Here is a 22,307-nt window from a genome sequence, read left to right as displayed (position 1 = left end):
GTGCACAGGTGGCCCCAGCTACTAATGCGCAATACCACCAGGTGGTGAGATAATCATTTTATTTATTTAACTGATTCTTTTTTTTTTTTTTTTTTTTTTTTGAGATGGAGTCTTTGTCTGTTGCCCAGGCTGGAATGCAGAGGTGTGATCTCAGCTCACTGCAACCTCCGCCTCCCAGGTTCAAGAGATTCTCCTGCCTCAGCCTCCTGAGTAGCTGGGATTACAGGTGGGAGCCACCATGCCCTGCTAATTTTTTGTATTTTTAGTAGAGATGGGGTTTCACCATGTTAGCCAGGCTGGTCTCAACCTCCTTGGCCTCAAGTAATCTGCCTGCCTCAGCCTCCCAAAGTGCTGGGACTACAGGTGTGAGCCACTGTGCCCAGCCTATTTATTTGATCCTTTGTGTATACCCGCATTTCTAAAATTTCTATAGCAAACACATATTACTTTAAAAAAATAGTTGTTTCTGAATTCCATTTGTATTTCCATCTTCTCAAAGCATCACCAGGCTTTGGCTGAGATCTACATGGAATTCCAACAATCTGACTCTTTGCATAATTCAACAAAATAACTGTTTGCCTTAGAACCCTGACAAGCTTCTACTGGCAGGCAGATGCCAGGAGCCACTGCACACCTCAGTTGAGCTCAGGGGATCCAGTGCTCAGATTTACCCATAATTAGAACCACCAGCCCAGCTGCCCCAGCCATGGAGCAAGCTTTCCTGAGCCCTAATGTCTGTTTTTCTACCATTGGAAATCTTTCATTTGTTCATTTCTTCCTTTGCTCATTCATCAAATATTCGTTGAGCCTTCTGTGTGCCAGGCACAATACTAGGTGCTAGGGACACATCTGAGGGCCCATGGGAGGTCTCTGTCTTCGTGCAATGAAAAGCACAAATGAAGCCGTGACCTGAGAGTGGCATAAGCGCTGTGGGAGGGGTGTCCCAAGAGCAGTGAGCAGACAGAGTGGAGGCACCCAGCCCAGATGAGAGATTCAAGACACTTTGCAGATAACAGGATATGCTAGCTCAAGCGTGAAGGGGCGAAGCCTCATGCAGGGACAGGAGAAGAGGAGCTTTCAGGAAGAAGGGACAGCATGGGCCCAGGTGTTTCTCCAGAACCCAGAGGCTCTCCACTCTTCAGCACTGTTAGTGGTAACTCCAGGACGGCTTCCAAGCACTGGATGAAAACATCCAACTCATTGTCCCTGTTTCATTCCCAGCCATTTGGTCCTCAGACCCCAGAATCAGCCCAGGATGCATTCAAGGTGCCCTACCTTAGGGGGCCCTGCCCTCCTGGCATCAGGACTCAGGGAGACACTGGTGGGGAAGGGGACTCTGCCCACCAGCTCACGTTACACCAAGCTCTGAGACGCCTCCACATCTAGTCAATTCAAGAGAGCACTGAAGTTAGAATCAGACTTTGGGTAAGTCCTTGCCCCTCCCTGGAACCTACAGGGTTTCCTTGTCTGTAAAATGGGGATAACAAGGAATCCCAGAGTTACAGGGTATTGTGAAGTCAAAGGAGATCATGTACACATGCACACTTAGCAACATGCAAATGCAAGATGTGGAGCTGCCCCGGCCCCAGCTCCAGCTCTGGCTCTGTGCAGCCTCCGACTGCTTATGTAAACCAGCCGCGATGCTGATGTAGCATGAGGCTTCTGTTTTCCACATTAGTGAGCACAGAAAACCTCGAACCATGACCCTGACACAGGTCTTTGGTTGCCATAGAGTCTCTTGTACTCCTGTACATTGTTCACTAAACAGGCAGGGCAGAGAGAGCTTTTCTTGCTCTGAGGCCAATGGCCAAGGTCCAAGATGCTGCTGGTGACACATTTCCCCTGCCAGCCGGCCCCACGACGCTGCCGGCCAGGTGGGGCTTGTGAGACAAGTGCCCTTAATTTGTTCTGACATCCAGCCAGGGGGAGCACCAAGCCTCCAGGGAGCACGAAGAGCTTGTCATGTCGCCCTATTATCCCACTGGAGCCGAGGGCGGAGGCTCTGCCATGAGCCCCAAAGCTGCTGCCCTGGGTGGGTTCTCGTCTCTGTGGATCACAGCCTCAGCCCACGGCTGGCATGCATCCTTCTACACCACAGTCCATCATCATCAGGAGGCTCTAACAGGAAAGCCCTGCCATGCTCCCCGGAGGTCCCTTGATGCCTTTCCTCAGGACCCTGGCCAGGAAGCTCATGCTGCCTCCTGCGGGGCTGGCTTCCTCCTGCTCCCCAGCCTCACCCTCTGCCCCACCATTTGTTCTACCCAGAGCCAATTCTGACCATTTGTTCCATCCAGGCCTCAAATGCAACCCCACACCTCCTCTTCCATATAGCTTGTGCCAATCCTTTAAATCTCTGTTAAAGTGTCAACTCCTCCAGGAAGCCTACCTACCTGGAAACACAGGGCTCTGTTTCTCCCAAGAGCCCAGAGATATCTGTATTTATCATGCTGTAATGTAATTGCCTGGTACCCGTGCCGTGGGACTACCCACCCCTACCCCAGAGCCCTTGGGTTCACTGGGAAGTCTTCGGTAAAATAGAACAAAAATTCGTTGGCATAGGTATTATGCAATGAGAGGGGATAAATATTAGAAATGAAAGATCCATTCATCTTGTGGGTGCTCGGTTTGGAAGGCTGTGCAAAGGCCCCGAGGTCTTGCTCTGTCTCTCCAGGGTGCAGGTGCCTCAGATCAGAGCCCAGCTGGCTTCTAGCATTCTGGCTGAGTGGAGTCCAGCCCCTGAGGGAGGCAGAGGTGGAAAATGGCAAGGGACTCATAGGCGCACCATAACTCTCCCAAAGAGATAGAACCTGTTTGGTATGTGTGTGTGGAAATTGGAACCAGAAAGAACGTGCCGCATTTCCCAGAAGCACCCTGAGAAAACTAGTTTTTGCCACATGAATTTAGAGATTTCTCCAAATTCTGGCTCTGTGATCAAAAGAGTTTGGAAAATGATTGTTTGAACAAAAGTAAACAGGTATTTTTTTCTGCAGACTTCTCAGAGTCCTCAGTGGTCTACATTGCAAATCTCGGAGAGGGGACTAGAGTGTCAGACTTGCCATGCGTATCTGGCAACAATGTCTGCTTTTAAGAAATACCTCTTAGTGTCTCACAGAATCAATTTTTCAGAAGACACAATTTAGAAAATGTTGTTTGGTCGGGTGTGGTGGCTCACGCCTGTAATCCCAGCACTTTGGGAGGCCAACACGGGCGGATCACCTGAGGTCAGGAGTTTGAGATCTGCCTGACCAACATGGAGAAAACCCATCTTTACTAAAAATACAAAAAATTAGCCAGGCATGGTGGTATATGCCTGTAATTCCAGCTACTCAGGAGGCTGAGGCAGGAGAATCGCTTGAACTTGGGAGGCAGAGGTTACGCTGAGCCAAGATCATGCCATTGCACTCCAGCCTGGGCAACAAGAGTGAAACTCCATCTTAAAAAAAAAAAAAGAAAAAGAAAATGTTGTTCTAGGCCTGGCATGGTGGCTCACACCTGTAATCCCTGAACTTTGGGAGGCCAAGGTGGGCAATTGCTTGAAGTCAGGAGTTCGAGACCAGCCTGGCCAGCATGGTGAAACCCCGTCGCTACTAAAAATACAAAAAATTGGCCAGGCATGGAGGCAGGCACCTGTAATCCCAGCTACTCAGGAGAATAATTTGAACCCAGGAGGTGGAGGTTGCAGTAAGCCGAGATCCCACCACTGCACTCCAGCCTGGGCCACAGAGACAGAGCAAGACTCTGTCTCAAAAAAAAAAAAAAAAAAAAAAAAACACACCAAACAAACAGAAAATGCTGTTCTAGAGGTAGCTGGGAGTTCCCAAAGGGCCATATCTTCTAATATTCAAATCTATAGAGGGATTTTATTGATAATACATATTTTTGATACATCACACAGTGCTGTCTTTTACTGACACAGCTTGCTTCTTGCTGATGCTGTGAACCATGTGAGTGTTTCCCTCATTAATGTGGCTGCTAGGAAGCTCAGAACTGAGTCCTTGTCCACATCTAGTCATTCCCCAGGCCCTCAGAGGGGAAATGTTAACTTCTAACTTTTTACCTGTTATCACCTTAGTTCTTCTATCCTTATTTTCTCTTGACCATCATTCCTTTATTTAATCATTGTAAACCTGTTTTACTGGTATGTTAAAATCCTTTTGAAAAAGAGGTAAGATGTACATAAATAAATGTAAACAAGTATAATCATATTAGTAGTAGCAATAATGATAACAAAATCACTTTCTTTCCAAAGAATAGGTGAATTTCCTGTAGGTCTGAGCATAAATTCTTTTCTGACAAGGTAGAGAGGATCCCAGATGCATCTTTTTCCGGGGCTTAATTTTCCTGCTTAACCCTTTCATTCTGCTCTTCAAAGTCAGAAGAAATGCCACCCTCTGTCCCCCTCACCCCTTGAAAGACTGAAACAAAACCACCCTCAAGATCAAATTGATTACATTAATGACAAGGAGAAGAGAGGATGGCCTGTGTCCGCTCTCTGCACTCAGCCACACAAGAGGCTTTTGTGCTCAGGAGAGAGATGGGGGCCAGGCACTTGATAAGCCGTATCCACTGGGCGTGGCCTGCCCCGCTGCTGCTTCAGCCCTTGAAGGCCCAAAAGGCTGGGTGGAGAGAAGGCCCCCGAATCCTGGCCACAGCCCCTGCGGCTCACCTTGGTGGGGCCAGGACTGGCTGAGGACCCAGTCTGCCCAATACCTAGGTAGCCACTTCCGGGTCCCTCTAAAGACCCAAAGGAGGGGTTGAGGGTTCACCAGCATTAGCCTGTTGGAACCTCCTTTCTGTATACAAACCCAGCTGAATCCTCTTCCCTTCGGATGCCTTGACCGTGAAGTGACCCACACATCATAAGAACTATCCTGCCTGCCTTTCTTCCCTGCACTGGAGTCCTTTGTTGTCACCCACGAATGGCTCTTGACCCGCTCTCTGGACAACTGTCATGTGCTTCCAGGAGTGGAAGGACAGTGGCTGCCATGTCCTGTTCCATTTCTCCTTGGAGCCCTGGGTGGTCAGGGAACAGAGGATTAGTGTCTCTCTCTCTCTCTCTCTCTCTCTCTCTCTTTCTCCCTCTCTTTGTACACACACCCATTTCCCCCAAATGCCTGAAGGATATTCCTTGCAAGACAGACAATAGGTATGAATAAAACTGTAGACACAAAGCTAGGAAAGGAGTCACCCAGGCCCAGAAGGACAGTGGGAACTGCCAGGTTAGTTGGTCCTCCTCTGAGCCCGTGGACAGCCTGTGTACCCCATCCTTCCATTCACTTGTGCGTTTGCCCCAGGAGATGTTCTCCTTGAGGACTGGAACCTCATGGAATTCAACACGGTCCCCTCGTGTCTAGGGCCTTCCTCTAAGGATAACCTCAATGAATTAAGAAGCAAGAAAAAGGCTGGAAAGATAATTAAAAAGAGGAAAAGGGGGTGAGGGAGGAGGTCATCAGTGTTTGGGGGTAAAAGACATTTTATTCATTATCTCTTTTAATCTTCACAATAACTTTAAGAGTTTAGATGTTAGCATTGGCCCCATCTCAGATATCAAGACCTTGAGCCTCCAGGAAGTAGGGCAGCCTTCCTGGCTCACTGTTAAGGTGTACCTGGTCAAGGTTGGGACCAAATTCCAGCCACCTCCACAGCCTGGCTCTTCTGCCTATGGCCACGCTATGCCACTGTCACTCAGACCCAGGGTGTACCTGGTCAAGGTTGGGACCAAATTCCAGCCACCTCCACAGCCTGGCTCTTCTGCCTATGGCCACGCTACGCTGCTGTCACTCAGACCCAGGGTGTACCTGGTCAAGGTTGGGACCAAATTCCAGCCACCTCCACAGCCTGGCTCTTCTGCCTATGGCCACGCTACGCTGCTGTCACTCAGACCCAGGGTGTACCTGGTCAAGGTTGGGACCAAATTCCAGCCACCTCCACAGCCTGGCTCTTCTGCCTATGGCCACGCTACGCTGCTGTCACTCAGACCCAGGGTGTACCTGGTCAAGGTTGGGACCAAATTCCAGCCACCTCCACAGCCTGGCTCTTCTGCCTATGGCCACGCTACACTGCTGTCATTCAGACCAGCCTAGGAGTTTCCATTTCATCCTAGAGGCAGCAGACCTTGAAATCTTTCTGAAAACGTGTGAGTTGAGTTTGCAAAGTGTGTTAAAATTAAAATAGAAGGCCGGGCATGGTGGCTCATGCCTGTAATACCAGCACTTTGGGAGGCCAAGGGGGGCAGATCACCTGAGGTCGGTAGTTCAAGACCCGCCTGACCAACATGGAGAAACTCCATCTCTACTAAAAACACAAAATTAGCCAGGTTTGGTGGTGCATGCCTGTAATCTCAGCTACTCAGGAGCCTGAGGCAGGAGAATCAACTGAACCTGGGAGGCGGAGGTTGTGGTGAGCCAAGATCACGCCATTGCACTCCAGCCTGGGCAACAAAAGTGAAACTCCGTCTCAAAAAAAAAAAAAAAATTAAAATAGAAGCCGGGTGCAGTGACTAACACCTATAATCCCAGCACTTTGGGAGGCTAAGGCAGGTGGATTGCTTGAGGTCAGGAGTTCAAGACCAGCCTGGGCAACATGGCAAAACCCCATTTCTACAAAAAATACAAAAAAAAAATAGCCAGACCTGGTGGTGCACACCTACTCTGCAGGCTGAGGTAAGAGGATCACCTGGTCCCGCAAGGTGGAGGCTGCAGTCAGCTGAGATTGCACCACAGCACTCCAGCCTGGGCGACAGGGCAAGACTTTTTCTCTTTTTTTTTTTTTTTTTTTTTTTTTGAGACGGAGTCTTGCTCTGTAGCCCAGGCTGGAGTGTAGTGGCAAGATCTCAGCTCACTGCAACCTCTGCCTCCTGGGTTCAAGCGATTCCCCTGCCTCAGCCTCCTGAGTAGCTGAGATTACAGGCGCGCGCCAACACGCCCAGCTAATTTTTGTATTTTTAGTAGAGACGGGGTTTCACTGTGTTGGTCAGGCTGGGAACTTGTCTCTAAATAAAAAATAAAAATAAATCGAATAGAGATTTTCTGCCAAGGAATTCCCAGTTTTCCGCTGCAGTCCAAGCTGGTGTAAAGACCTCTTTCCTTAAAAAGATCATATGTTAGCCACTTAAATTAGAAAAGTCACAGGTCTAGAAAACAAATATCTTCCCCATCCTTCTCTGTGGACTATGTTCAGCTAAGCATCCTTCCAGCAAATCTAGACCCCACACTTGAGGAGTCTAACTTCTCCTGGGGAAAAAAAGAAAAGGGAACTTAGGCTTATCGGCCAGCTTGATTCACTTCATTATAACAAACGAGGCCTTATCTGGCAGCCACAGAGCATGGGGGGCCCTGCACCCACCAACCCCTTCCCAGGCCCCCTGAATGCCAACATCCAGACAGGAAGTTGTGAGCGGAAATAAAGTGTTCATAGGTTTCCCACGTGCAATGAAGAGCTTATGTGAGGTCTACAAAAGTGTGGCAAATCCTTGGCTTTTAAAATTGCAAGGAAACTTACTTGTGGTTGTCGGCTTGGTGGGTGTCTGCTCCAGAGGAAGAAGCAATCTTTGTAAGGATCCTCTTGGTTCCTGTATGTGGCTTGCTTTGCTTAAAGTATTTTTTTATTTTTTTACATTTATTTTATTTTTACTAATTTCTGCTTTCATTGTAGATTCTTAGGGTATATGTGCAGGTTTCTTACCTGGGTATATTGTGTGATGCTGAGGTTTGGGATACAATTGATCCTGCCACCCGGGTACTAAGCATAGTCTCCAATAGTTTTTCAGTCCTTGCTCCCTCCACCCCTCCTTTTCTCGCTGCTGTAGCAGTCCCCAATGTCTATTGTTCCCATCTTTATGTCCACGAGTATCCAATGTTCAGCTCCCACTTATGAGTGAGAACATGTGGTATTTGGTTTTCTGTTCAAAAAGATTTCATTTTAAGATTTAAGATATTTGATTGAACTAATCTGTGTTGTTAAAAATGAAACTTAGGCCAGATGCGGTGGCTCACACGTGTAATACCACCACTTTGGGAGGCTGAGGCAGGCAGATCACTTGAGTTCAAGAGTTTGAGGCCAGCCTGGGCAACATGGTGAAACCCCGTTTCTACTAAAAGTACAGAAATTAGCCAGGCATGGTGGCGGGCACCTGTAATCCCAGCTACTCAGGGGACTGAGGTGGGAAAATCACTTGAACCTGGGAGTCAGAGGTTGCAGTGAGCCGAGATCGTGCCACTACACTCCAGCCTGGGTGACAGAGTGAGACTCTGTCTCAAAAAAAAAAAAAAAAAGAAAAGAAAAGAAAATTTTAAAAAAAATACAATTTTATGGGTTGTGTTATGTTTTCAATGGACAAGTATCTCAGCTCCATACTTCTAATTGAAAAATGTCAAACATCTCATTGTTCTGGGCTTCAAAATATAAGTAATACCTAGCATTTGCATGAGGTTCATGATTTACAAAGTATTTTCTATCAGAGACCTTGCCTGCTGCTGTGTAAATCAAGGCTCATTTTGAGGTATTATCTTTTCCATACTTTGTTCAAAAACAGATTTAAGATAACTAGTAGGTATGTTACCAGAAGACACAGGAATAGAGCCTCTTAGAAACTGAGTTCTATTACAGATAAAACTGCTAAAAACTTGGAGCATTTCAATTTCTAAAATAGCACTTGTGTATCCATCCTGCAGTTATCTTTCATTTTTTATTTTATTTTTTGAGATGGAGTCCCGCTCTGTTGCCCGGGCTGGAGTGCGATGGCGCGATCTTGGCTCGCTGAAACCTCCACCTCACGGGTTCAAGTGATTCTCCTGCCTCAGCCTCCTGAGTAGCTGGGATTACAGGCGCCCACCACCACACCTGGCTAATTTTTGTATTTTTAGTAGAGACGGGGTTTCACCATGTTCGTCAGGCTGATCTCAAACTCCTGACCTCGTGATCCATCCTCCTCGGCCTCCCAAAGTGCTGGGATTACAGGCGCGAGCCACCACGCCTGGCCCGTACTGCAGTTATCTTTAACAAGGCCTGGACATTCAGCACGTACCCACACCTCTCAGGCCATTGCTGGAGCACGCAGGACTAAAATAGTGAGCTCATCTGAAGACTAATGTGTTGGAACAAACTCTGAACGTGGGCAGGGCTGGGATGTCCTAACGTCGTCTTTTCACTGCTTCCCCACTCTATGCATTTGGACGGATCTTCAGAGTCTCTGAGCCTGTTTCCTCGTGGAGAGACTAATGCCTGCCATGCCCAGTTCTCAGCACTACTTTGTAGATGCAGTGTGATAAGGGGTGTGAAATTTACATGCATTGACACTGGTGGTGCTTCATTGTGATTATAGACCCAGTGTTATGAGGCCCTGGTACCAACTGCAGCTCTATTTCTTGCTGTCTAATCATGGACAAGTTACCTCTCTATCAGCCTCAAAGCCCACATCTGTCAAATGAAGAGGGTGAGGCTATATGTTTTATTTCTATTTTCTTTAATTTTTTTGAGACAGAGTCTTGCTCTGTCACCCAGGCTGGAGTGCAGTGGTGCCATCTTGGCTCACTGCAATCTCCACCTTCCAGGTTCAAGCGATTCTCCTGCCTCAGCCTCGCAGGTACCTGGGACTACAGGCATGCATCACCACGCCAGGCTAATTTTTGTATTTTTAGTAAAGACAGGGTTTCACCATGTTGGCCAAACTGGTTCAAACTCCTGACCTCAAGTGATCCACCTGCCTCAGCCTCCGAAAGTGCTGGGATTACAGACGTGAGCCACGGCGCTGGCCTAGATGTTTTATTTCACTGCGACTCCAAGTGTAACTACCAGTATGTCGTGAAATAAGGAGCCTGCATTAGAATATTAAACAACGCCCTGCTTCTTTCATCGAGACAGTCTTGTTATCAAAACAAAACAAAAAACCGCTGAGCTAAACAGCATGCTTAGTGAGTAGCAGTACACTGACTGTATTAGCCCTTCCATGACTACATGATAGGATTTCAATGACATTCTTATCCTACTTGCAAAATAAACAAGGATCCAGGAAATTGATTAAATTCAGGATTCACCCAGATGGGGCCACTGTCTCTTCTAATTACTCAACAGGTCTTTACAGGGGGCCTACTAGAGCCCAGCCCAGTGGTCCCTGCCCAGGACCCTCCAAATCAAATGGGGAGACAAGACATAAGCAAGGAACATCACAAGAAGGCTAGGCACTAGGCAGTCCTACACAGAACAGAATTGCAGAGAAGTCCATGGAGTCAAGTGTCTCTGAGACAGAGCAAATGGGGAAGGCTTCCTCATGAGGAGGTGGCATTTTCACCAGGGTTGATGAAGTTAACCTGCATTAAGTAAAATTTAGAAAGTTCTAGGAACACAGAGCCTTATACACAGTGTTCTTGTGCTCCTTTCTTAGTAATCTAGAAATGGGTTCTGGTGCTCATGGGTGAGATACTGGCCAGTTCTCTCAGGCAGATAATCCAGACTTCTTGCATATAGCTAGATTCCTGTGAACACTTTGATGCATTTGTATTAGAAAGAAAACATCCAAGTCACAAATAGCATCTATGCAGGGAGAACTCTTACACCTTTTCCTTTCCCTGCAGAGACCAGTGACCTATTGAAGTGGTGCCTCTGGCTCAGTCGGCCTCAGTCTTCCGCTGGGACTCAGACCTGCTCCGGAAGTAAAAAATGTTCCTGATATGTCATCAACTCTGTCCTCTTTGTGCTTAATTTGCATTGACAACTGAAAAGTTAAGCAGATGCATCATTGGGCCTCCTTGTTCATTTTTTGCACTTCACTGTAAAAAACAAGAAATGATTATAGAAAAATGTATATATCTGCTGGAAAACTCCTTTCTCCCCTCTAGTTCAGAATCTTGCAATTGGGAATGTTTGTCGTATTTTAAATCAGCAGATGATAGTTGGCTGCATCTGCCCGTGTGGCATTTTTTTTTTTTCTTCTGGGTTCACACATAAACTTCCTTTCCTTCCCTCTAAATTTCTGTCTTTCTTTTTACCTCTCTGTCTTTTGGTAGATCGTCTTTCTTTTTTTCTTCCCATCTTTATGGTTTCTCTACACAATCCTTTAGCCATGTTATTGTTCAAATTTAACTTCCAATTCTCAAGTTACTGTGTGTGTGGTTTTTTCTTGTCTACAAAGGAAATATTCCCCTGGGAAAAGATAAGTGTGAAACAAGGGCAGCTAGGGTCCTGTCTTTGGGGTGTCCAGACTTACACAAAGAACTTTTTAATGAACTGTTTTGTTTTTGTTTTTTGTTTTTTGTTTTTTTTCTCAAAAAAGGAAGCCATGTGTAGCCTCTGCCCCAGAGGGGGGAGAATTCTTGGCTGAGGAGGATAGGTGGAGAGGGTTTCCAAACTCTCCACCTTCAAGTCCTAAGTCTTTGAAAGCTATCCTAAGATAAAGCAACATTCTCTTGTGAATTTTGTAATAAGAATTCTAGACTTGTTGGGTATGAGGCACATCTGAGCATGAATTGCCTTGGGTTTCCACAGGCCATCCTAGAATCCCTGGGAAGGGCTCCCTTTATTCCTGGACCGCCTTTGATGACACACAACCTTTGACCCTGATCAATGCATCCTCCTCCCAAGCAGTGCAGACAGGAGCAGCTCTCTCAGCACCCAGAGGAAGCGCGGGCATTCGGCTCTGACCTCTCACCCTGCCCCTAACCTCACTGATAATTGAGTTTTCCATTCGTACTCACCAGCAGGCTCTCTACACAAAGAAACAAGCCCCCCTTACTCTGTCTTTACCGAGATGAAACCACGAGCGGAGTCTGTTCAGCCAACACCAGCATCCGGTACCGGAACACACAAGAGGATCGGATCTGGGTCCCGGCTCCCCGATTCCATCCTGGGCCTCCCAGCACCTCCCATGCCGCTAGGACAGAGCACCTGACTCAGACAGCATTTGTTTCTCCTAGTGTGGCACTTGAAGAGAGAACTGTGTCTCTTTGAAAAATGTTCATGTTGCAGAGCAATTTAAAACACACACCTCCTTCCAAGTGCCCTTCCATAAAAGCCTGCTTTCCAGAAGCTCCTGGAATCCTAAAAACTGAATCAAAGACATTTTAAAATGAACTTTCTCTACCTCCCTTTGAATCTTTGTAAAATCTCTTATTGTAGAATAAAGTAAGCTATCAACAAGCCCTTTCTAAACATTTCCACCCTAAGTTTGCCCTATGCGTGGAAAGAATGGATGGCTAGAATCACCCCCTCGACCTCCTGCTGAAGAGGACAAGGTGCTGGTGTGGGAGGCAAGTCCCCAGCCAGTGAGTTGGGGCTCCCGGAACCGCTGTCCACGAGGAGGGGAGGATGGAGTCCTGAGATGCCCGCACTACCCTCGGCAAATGCTTGCGGGCTTCTAACTTAGGAATGGTAATGACCTCATTAGCATCATGCACTTCCCCCTGCAAGTGACACCATCTCCTCTGGCTCTCACACCCCCACTGAGGTAGCTAGATCTTGTGCCAAGAAACCAAAGGGCAGAGGATGTGTCCAAGGTCACCAGAAGAGGTGGAGCCAAGACTTCGAGCTAAGTTTTCGGACTCTGCAGCCATGAAACTTGGGGAGTGCCCCGCTGCTTCTAGAGGAGCACCCCTGGAAGGCAGAAGAACCAGAGGAAGCTTCCAGGGTAGGACAAAAACACAAGAACATATGAAAGCAGAGACAGAACTGTTCTTGCCAGAGGGAGAGGTGGAGACTTCAGAAGACAGAACAGTCGCCATGGCAGTGGCATTCTGGGGGGTGGAGGGGCTTCCTGGGGAGGAAGGGCCCAGCTGAGCCTTAAGGATGGAGCAGCATTGAGAGTAGTAGAGGGGAGATGGCGAGGTGCTTTAGCAGGGGGACCTGCCTGGGAAGAGGCTTCAAGCAGGAAGCCCTGATGGAGACAATGTTGAGGTCCTGGGCCGACAGCCTGTTGGAGAGAGAGGGAGGGCCACACGTGCAAGGCCTTGAAAGTTGAGCCAGGAGTTGGGGCTTTCTGTGTAAGCAGTCTCTTAGAATACCTACTGTAGGGGTGTAGTGTGCAGTCTTTAACAACAAGGACATTTTCCCATTTGGAAATTGAAAAGTGGGAAAACTCAGCCAGAATGGCACCCATATATGGGCCAATCAAAGCAAGACCCATTGGCCTAAAAGCCTCCTCTTCATTCCCCACTGCCTGCCCTCTTGCCCAGACAGTGTGAAGCTCCCTAGGCCCGTGCTCAATCTCCAGCCTTCTGGGCTGCTTTATGGCAGATTCGGATGCAAAAGGTCTGGGAGTGACTCAAGAATCTCTGTTTTTACTGAGTGTCCATAGGTGTTGTTAACCACGAACCAGTTTAGAAAGAAGAAACACCACTGTGAGGATCACCCGGGGCACTAGGAAATAACAGGGCCTCTCCTCTGCAGAGCCTGAGCTAGCAGGTCCATGGGGAGAACCAGGAATCTGGGTCTTTAACAAAAGCAGGGCCAGGTTTTGGTTGAGATGAGCAAGGTGAGCCATCCAAGTGCAGGGTCAACTCCTGTCCTCATTTCAAAGTTTCTTCGCTCCATTGCTCATCATGGACATTTTTGCACTGATTTTTGTTATCATTTATCTTGATAACTGAGTTTTTTTTGGCTTCTCCTTAAAATTTGCACCTAAAATGAGTGTCTCACTTGCCTCACCCTTGTCTTGGCCCACAACAAAAGCCCCAGGTGATCCCCAGGATGATGGCTGAGTCCAGGACACTCAGCACAGCCTTCCAGCTCTTTCCTTTGCCTGCATTTCCAGCCTCATCCACCTCATCCCTGAGCACAGGCTCTGCACACCCACCCCAGCCCAGTGACCAGCTCTCCAAACAGCCTCTGCACATACTCTTCCTTCTTCTTGCAATGTCCTTGCTGCCTCTGGGGTCCCCACTCCACCTGGGCAGCCCCTCCTCCAATGCCACCAATGGCCCCCTGTATACATATAGGGCTGGGAGCTCTGCCACACTCTCCCGCTGAAACTACCAGCCTCCCGCAACAACCCCAGGAAAGAATAGTGTCTTCACTTCTACGCTCAATTTGCCCACACCCCCAAGTCAGGACTGTCTCACCATCCCATTATTGTTCAATGTGCCTGTGAGCCCCTTGAAGAAAAAGGAAATATCTTATTCCAGATCCTCCCACTCCTAGAACATACCCTGGCACTGAAGAGAGGATGGCTGGCTGGATGGATGGATGGATGGATGGAGGGGTGGGTGGGGTGGGTGGGTGGATAGATGGATAGATGAATGAATAAAAGTCGAGGCACAATGGGCTGATCACAGGCCTCACAACCCAAACCTGGGCTTGAATCCGCCTTCACTACCCACCTCTGAATGCTCCAAACAAGTGACTTAACAACACCAGCTCCATCTCCTCATCTATAAAATGGAACTAAGGGGGCTGCCTTTGCAAGGTCGTTGTGAAAATTAAAAGCAGTTTACTGAGTGCCTGGGACCCAGTAATAGGTGTTGCATAAGTTGAAAAAATAACAGGGATCAGATGGCAGACTGCCTTTCCCCTTGGAACCATTGTATGGTGCTGTGTGCTCTGAGAGGCCATGTAATAAAGCACTATGTGGCTTGCTGCTGTGATCCTTGTAGGCTGGCTAAGCTTAGTCTGACAAGCGGTTCATAATGATCAAGGCTTAAGTGAGGCTTGGTCCCTGAATCCATTGGAGGGATTTTACATTCTAAAGTCAGATGGAGGAAAGAAATGATGTGGGTCTTCATTGAGTTTAAAGCCCACTGATTCAACTCAGATTTGAGGAACATCAGCTGGCACTTCCCACGTCTGTGTAGGGTGGCACCTGCTGGGAGTCACTCCTAGACGCTGTCACAGACAGTCTCCTGAAGTCCCTTTCAAGTCTTAAATATCATGTGAAAGATCTTACCCTGGAGTAGACTTATCTTGACCCTTCATGTATTAATCAGGATTCTCCAGAGAAACAACCTATACATATCCAGAAAGAAACAGAGAAATATTTACTTTAAGGAATTGCTCATGACTGTGGATACTTGCAAATCTGAAATTTGCGGGAGAGGCGGGCAGGCTGGAGACCCTGGGAAGTGTTGATGTTGCAGTCTTCAGTCCAAAGACAGCTGAAATTGAATCCACCTTTGGATTCATCTTCATGAGGATTTCTTCATCTTCGAGGGACCTCAGTGTTTTCTCTTAAGACCTGGAGGATAATATGTTTATTCAGAATCTACTGACTTCAATGTTAATCTAAAAAAAAAAAAAAAAAAAAAAAGCCTTTACAGTGACATCTAGACTGGCATTTGACCAAACAAATGGGCACCTTAGCCTAGCCACACTGACATACAAAATTAGCCATCATGCTCCCCAAGTTTGCAATATGAAAAAGAATCAGCCTACCTAACAGTCAGTCACTACATAAGAAGCAATAATGGGAAAGCGCTTTGCCAGGGAAAAGATGCCCCACAGAACAGGTGCTGCCAGGGTGGGGGCTAAATCTGCTGTTTGGGGACAACCAGGACATACCAAGTGTTCTACTAGACTGTTTGACAGACAAAAAGGAAGCTGGCAGAGTCCTTTCCAGGAAAACTAATTCATTCACCCGATACTATTGGCTCTACTGAGCACCAGGCTTACCAGATCCCATCCAGTGGACAAATGGTACAACAAGGGGGCATGCCAAGGGGGAAAGCCAGGGGTGTGCAGCATCCACACAGGAAACTCAGGAGGATGCCTGGCCCAAACTCAGGAGTTGGGGGCAACTAGCAGCAAACTCAGTGGCCATCACCAGAGGAATGAGTAAGGAAAACTTAGTGATGTACGATGTGAAATTTTTTGCAGCATTTGGAAACAATTAACTAGATGTACACACAGCTTAGATTTTAAAAACACAATGCTGAACGGGGAAAAAGTAAGAAACAGAACAGTTGATAGCACAATATCATTTATATAAGTTTAGAATACATCACACAAGGCAACGTGCTTTAGAGAGATGCTTGTAATTTCAAGGATACAAAGCAGATGCGTTGGAGCAGTTGCCTATGAGAAGAGGGGCATGGGATGGGAATTTAAACTAAGTGGATAAATGAGAAGAGGAGCCTGGCATGAAGCAATGAGGTAATGTTTCATGAACTGCAGAGTAACTCAACCCTCCGCACTGTGGTCCAGAAAGTGGAAGAAAAATCATTACTGAGAGCTGCCACCAGGTTATCAAGATTTGTTCAAGGTCTATCTTTTCTTCTAGATCAGAAGTCATAGCCCAGGAGCCAAATCCAACCCACCACCAGGTTCTGTAAATAAAGTTTTACTGGCACACAGCCACACTCATTCATTTACATATTGCCTGTGGCTGTTTTTACAGGACAATAGGAGAGTTGAGGAGTTGCAACAGAGACTATATGGTCTGCGAAGCTTAAGACAGTTATGACCTGGCCCTTTACAAAAAAGGTTTGCCAACCCCTGCTCCAGACTAAAAGCTCCATGATGGTAAGGGCTATAGGTAAAGAGAAAAGAGAGAGCTCCATGAATAGTGATGTATCAACACTGGCCAAACACAAAACAAGCCCACGGGCTTCCCACAGCTCTAGGGTATGACTCAGACTGCAAGTGGTGGCCACTCAGTTCTTCAACTGCACCAAGGGCCCTCTGACCCTAGGCCTTTGTGTGTGCTGATCTTCTCTGTGGAATGTTCTCTCTCTACTTCTTCGTCTGACCAACTCTACCATATGTCTTCTAGGAGCCTTCTCTGGTGCCCTGCCCCTAGCCTGGGAAGTCATTTAGACCCTTTCATAGCCTCAGCACTTTCTGATAAAACACAGCACCCTGGTATTGTGTGCTCAACAGGGTGAACACACAGGTCTGCCTTCCTTTCTAGACCAAAACCTATCAAGGGCATGGACCAAGTCCTGCTCGACTCTGAGTTCCCAGCTCCTCTAGCACAGCACATAGTAGGTGCTCAATAAAAATTTTTTTAAAAATAAATCAATGAATTCAAGAATGAGTAAATGAAAAGGTGTGATGCAGGGATGGTAAGCAGGACAACGTGGCAGGAGCAGAGGACATGCAGGGAAAGGGGAAAGAGTAAGATTAGGAAAGATTGGGGGAAATGATAAAAGGCCTGAAACGCCAAGAAGTAGATGCTTTCTTCCAAAGGGCATGTGCTGAAACCTGACTTCCCAACACAAAGACTGTCTACTGCATGAATAATTGACTTGGAGCTGGAAGGAGTCAGAATCCAGGTCATCCCCCATTCCCCCATGGAGATGGTGCAGCCCCATTTCCAGCCTGGTTCCTCAGCTGACCTGCTTGCTTCCAGCCTCTATTCATCCTCTGGTGGATGCAGGCATGACCTATTCCACACACAGTGAGGGCTCAGAATGGAGCCCCATACTGGGGTCTGCCCTGGCTTTGCCACGACAGAGCATGTTCAGCTTCTCCCTGGTCCTGGAAGACAGGAGTGTCAGATGGAGTCTTTAGGCTCTATTCTCTGCAGTCCTCTGAGCCCATGGCCTTCTGGCTTGTGAGCATATAATAAACCAAGCACCTTTCCCCTTTGCTGTGGGCTGTAAGAGTAGATGGCATCACAGAGTCCTGAAGACCCCCACAGAGCACTGACCCTCACATTGCAGCTCCTCTCACTGCCTCCAGTCCCCTCGGTCCCTGTGCCCACCTGGGAAGGCTTTCTATGGGACTTTCTCACACACTCACCCATTCTGTGTGTACTAGAAGTTCATTCCCAAAGCAAGACAGAAGGTGGTGCGTGGCCCAGATGTGCTAAGCTTCCAATGCAGGGGAGCCCTGTGTCATCTTAAATCTGAGATGGTAGATCCAGGCCTTGAAGTACCAGTGCAGCGTGCCACTTACTATCTAAGACCTGGAATTGCTGGGAGGCAACGTAATAGGGTGGCATGTTGGCTTTCCAGGGCTTCTATCACAAAGACCCATGGACAGAATGACTGAAATAGCAAAACTTTATTTCTTTGCAGTTCTGCCAGCAACAAGTCCAAGATCAAGGTATCTGCAGAATCAGTTTCTTTTGAGGCCTCTCTTCTTGGCCCATAGATGGCCGTCTTCTCCCTGCCTTCACCTGTTCTTTGCTCTGTGCGTGTCTGTGTCCTAATCTCTTCTTCTTATAAGAATATCAGTCTATTGGATTAGGGTCCACTCTAATAACCTCACTTTAACTTAATTACCTCTTTTAAAACCCTATCTCCAAATACAGTTACATTCTGAGGCACCAGGGGTGGTTAGGACTGCAACACATGAGCTGGGGAGAGGAGATACAAATCAGCCCGTGACAGCTGGAAAGGGCTTGGCATGGAGGCCAGATGGAAAGGAGCTCAAATCCTAGCCCCTCACCTCACTGAGCCTCAGTTTCCTCATCAACAAAATGAGGGGATTATTTCTCCCTTGGGGGCACCTCTGAGGATGGAGTGAGATAAGACACATGCCTGCACCCAGTGCAGTCCTGGGTACCTGGTAAATGGCGTTTATTATGAACACTGTTCCTGGACTCTGGCTCTCACATATTCCAGCTCCTGGTCATTCTCCATTAACTCCATCTGTACGAACCACAGCTACATGTCAAAGGGTCATATCATGTGTTACATTTGTTCTTTCCCAATTCACCCAAACATCTCACTTTAGCATCTCAGCTCACATTGTTTTGGACATTTTTCTTGCTAAAATCATCTACATTTATTAATCATGAATATAGTCAGATGACCCCATCCAAGGAGGGACTGTCTGGTGGGATGGTTAAGAGTTTATCAAATTCTCTAGTCCAGAGCAAGTATAAAAGGAATAGGGGGAAAAAATTGAACAAAAGAGAAGAAAGAGTTTATCAAAGTCTTGGTTTGATCCTGGCTCTGCTACTTACATGCTGTGTGAACCTAGGCAAATCATTGAAACACTCAGTGTCCTCCTCTGTAACGTGAGAATCATAAAAGTAGCTCTCTCATGGGGCTGTAGTGACATTTAACTGAGCTTAGATATGAGAAGCTCTTCCAACAGGGCAAAGCACAAAGTAAGCACTACATGTCTGTTAGCCACGATTACGATGTTTCACGGTTGTGGAACGTCCTCCTGCTCTGTCTATTGACAAAGCCTGCAAGACCCCTCTGTGAGCAGCATTCCTACTACAGAGGTGCCTGATGAACTCTGGGCCCCCTCAGTTCTCATTTGGCCTAAATGCCCAACTGTGTCATACACTTGGCACCAAGCACGCCCGGTTTCATTTCAGGAGTGAGAGTCACACTATGTGTCTCTGAAGGGTGTGAGCACGTGTCCACCCCCTGGTGTTCCACAGCCTGAACACAATGCTAAGTACACAGTAGGTTCTTGGGAAGCAAACAGTTGTGGACTGACTGATAAAACTACATGACGACAACTCAGCAACAACCCACCTACCTGGAGGACTGTACCATAGTCTGAAATCTGCAAAGATGTTGAGGGGAAAGTGCCATTATTCTGAAACGCACATTTTTTTTTTTTTTTTTTTGAGATGGGGTTTCACTCTTGTTGTCCAGGCTGGAGTACAGTGGTGCGATCTCGGCTCACTGAAACCTCTGCCTCCCAGGTTCAAGCAATTATCCTGCCTCAGCCTCCTGAGTAGCTGGGATTACAGGCACCTACTTTTATGCCTGGCTAATTTTTGTATTTTTAGTAGAGATGGGGTTTCACTATGTTGGCCACGCTGGTCTCGGACTCCTGACCTCAGGTGATCTGCCTGCCTTGGCCTCCCAAAGTGCTGGGATTACAGGCATGAGCCACTGTGCCCAGCCCTGAAATGGAATTTTTGACGTAAATAAAATGTTTTAAAAAATAAATTAGGCCTGGCACGGTGGCTTACGCCTGTAATCCCAGCACTCTGGGAGGCCGAGGCGGGTGGATCACGAGGTCAGGAGATCAAGACCATCCTGGCTAACACGGTGAAAACCTGTGTCTACTAAAAATACAAAAAAATTAGCCAGGCATGGTGGTGGGCACCTGTAGTCCCAGCTACTTGGGAGGCTGAGGCAGGAGAATGGTGTGAACCCGAGTGGCAGAGCTTGCAGTGGGCCGAGATCACACCACTGCACTCCAGCCTGGGTGACAGAGGGAGACTCCGTCTCAAAAGAAAAAAAAACAAAACAAACAAATAAAAAATAAATTAGAGCTTGGGATTTTTTGTGTGTGTTGTTTTGTCTTTGTTTGTTTTGTTTTGCCTTAAGCTCCTGAGTGACTTTACTCTGATGATGGGCAAATCCTACTAACTAACCAGACTTATTTGTAAAGTTTCTGCAAATAGACCACAGCATGTCCCATTCCTGTGTCCCACAAGGAATGCCGTTGGTGGGATGGGGCAGGACTGCCCTTCAAAGTCAGTATTACGTTTTATATGAAAAAATATTCAACATCATTAATCATCAGAGAAATGAAAATCAAAACCATCTCACACCAGTCAGAATGGCTATAATTGAAGAATCAAAAAATAGCAGATGCTGGAGAGGCTGCGGAGAAAAGGCCACGCATTCTTTGTGGGAATGTAAATTAGTGTAGCCACTGTGGAAAGCAGTCTGACGATTTCTCAAATAACTTAAAACAGCTACCATTTAACCCAGCAATCCCATTACTGGATATATTCTCAAAGGAATATAGATCATTCTACCAAAAAGACATATGCTTTCATATGTTCATCACAGCACAAGTTCCAATAGCAAAGACATGGAATCAACCTAGGTACCCATCAACAATGGATTGGATGCAGAAAATGTGGTCTATATACACCATGGAATACTACACAGTCACAAAAAAAGAATAAAATCATGTCCTTTGTAGCAACACGGATGCAGCTGAAAGTCATAATCCTGAGAGAATTAACACAGGAAAAAAAACCATATACCGTACGTTCTCACTTATAAGTGGGAGCTAAACATTGGGTACTCATGGACATAAAGATGGCAACAATCAACACTGGGCACTACTAGAGAAGGGAGGGGGCAAAGGCTGAAAAATTACCTATTGGGCACTGTGCTCACTACCTGGGTGCTGGGGCCATTTGTACCCCCAACCTCAGCATCATACAATATACCCATGTAACGAACCTGCATATGTAACCTCTGGATATAAAATAAAAGTTAATTTTTTTTTAAGAAGTCAGTATTACGTTTTGCTTTGTTTTGTTTTGTTTTTTGAGACGGAGTCTCGCTGTGGCCCAGGCTGGAGTGCGGTGGTGTGCTCTCCGCTCACTGCAGGCTCCGCCCCCCGGGGTTCACTCCACTCTCCTGCCTCAACCTCCTGAGTAGCTGGGACTACAGGCGCCCGCCACCTCGCCCGGCTAATTTTTTGTATTTTTAGTAGAGACAGGGTTTCACCATGTTAGCCAGGATGGTCTCGATCTCCTGACCTCGTGATCCGCCCGCCTCGGCCTCCCAAAGTGCTGGGATTACAGGCGTGAGCCACCGCGCCCGGCCGTCAATATTATGTTTTAAAGACTGGTAACGTGAGAAATCTGGAATCAGGGTAAGGGTCCCAAACTTTGGAGCACAGCACACTTCCCTGCCTGAGTGGTTTTATGTAAGTAAGTTTATTCGTTTAATCCTCACAAGAGCCCCCGTGGCGGATAAGGAGTCTGGGGCATGAGGACTCAGTCACTGGCCCCAGATTGGACAACAATCGGCAGCAGAGCCAGCCTCACTCCTGGCAGTCTGGTGACAGGGTAAAGCCCCGACCATCCCTCGACCCTACCTTCCACCTGAGGTTGGTGTTGCACTTCTCATGGTGATGGGCAGGTTCTCACAGGCTCCTCACAGCACGCCATGCGGGTGGCAGACAAGGAGAGGACCCTTCTGCCCGTCTGCTCATCTTGCAGGTGGGAAGTCTGAGCCATGGGTTGTTCTGAGCAGCATCCTGAGCTTCTCTCCTGTCTCTACCTCCACACCCCGAAGGTAGGCGCTCTTAGCAAGAGACAAGTCAATCCATTTGTCCATTTGATTTAGGAAATGCCCACTGTGCTCCAGGGCAGGTCAGGTCCTCAGCTGGACACCCAGAGGACCACAGAAGGGACAAGACCAGGCCAGCCTTGCGGAACGTACTAGGCCTGTGTGTGGTGGGGCAGAGAGACACATGCCTGTCCTCATAGGGGAAAGTACAAGTGCAGAGTGAATCCCAGGAGGGCAAGATCATCACCCTCTGGGGTTATCAGAGAGACTTCCTGGAGGGTAATGTACCTGCCAACTTCCTGAACCAAGTCTGACAGTCCCATGTGTGTCCCTCACCCAGTGGCCAACAAAAGAATGGTTTAGGCTTCCTCAGCTATCGAAGGAGGCCATTCACCAGGCTCCCTGGCTTGGGCTTGACGTTGGCTCCCATTC

At 47.4% G+C, this 22,307-nt stretch overlaps 1 long non-coding RNA gene across 1 annotated transcript in view; it reads right to left on the bottom strand.

Moving 5' to 3' along the window:
* Positions 1–10,365: 10,365 nt before the first annotated feature.
* GACAT3 (gastric cancer associated transcript 3) overlaps positions 10,366–22,307 on the bottom strand; it is a 35,263-nt gene continuing 23,321 nt past the window's right edge. The window contains exons 3-4 of the long non-coding RNA NR_126559.1: positions 14,965–15,157; positions 10,366–10,766 (exon numbers count right to left, since the gene is read on the bottom strand). This is a non-coding gene — a long non-coding RNA (gastric cancer associated transcript 3). The remainder of the gene's footprint in view (positions 10,767–14,964; positions 15,158–22,307) is intronic.

This window comes from Homo sapiens, chromosome 2 (assembly GCF_000001405.40).
Source record: "Homo sapiens chromosome 2, GRCh38.p14 Primary Assembly".
NCBI classification, from domain to species: Eukaryota; Metazoa; Chordata; class Mammalia; order Primates; family Hominidae; genus Homo; species Homo sapiens.
The sequence above is the reverse complement of the archived record's forward strand: the minus strand, read 5'-3'. Positions and strand labels throughout refer to the sequence as shown.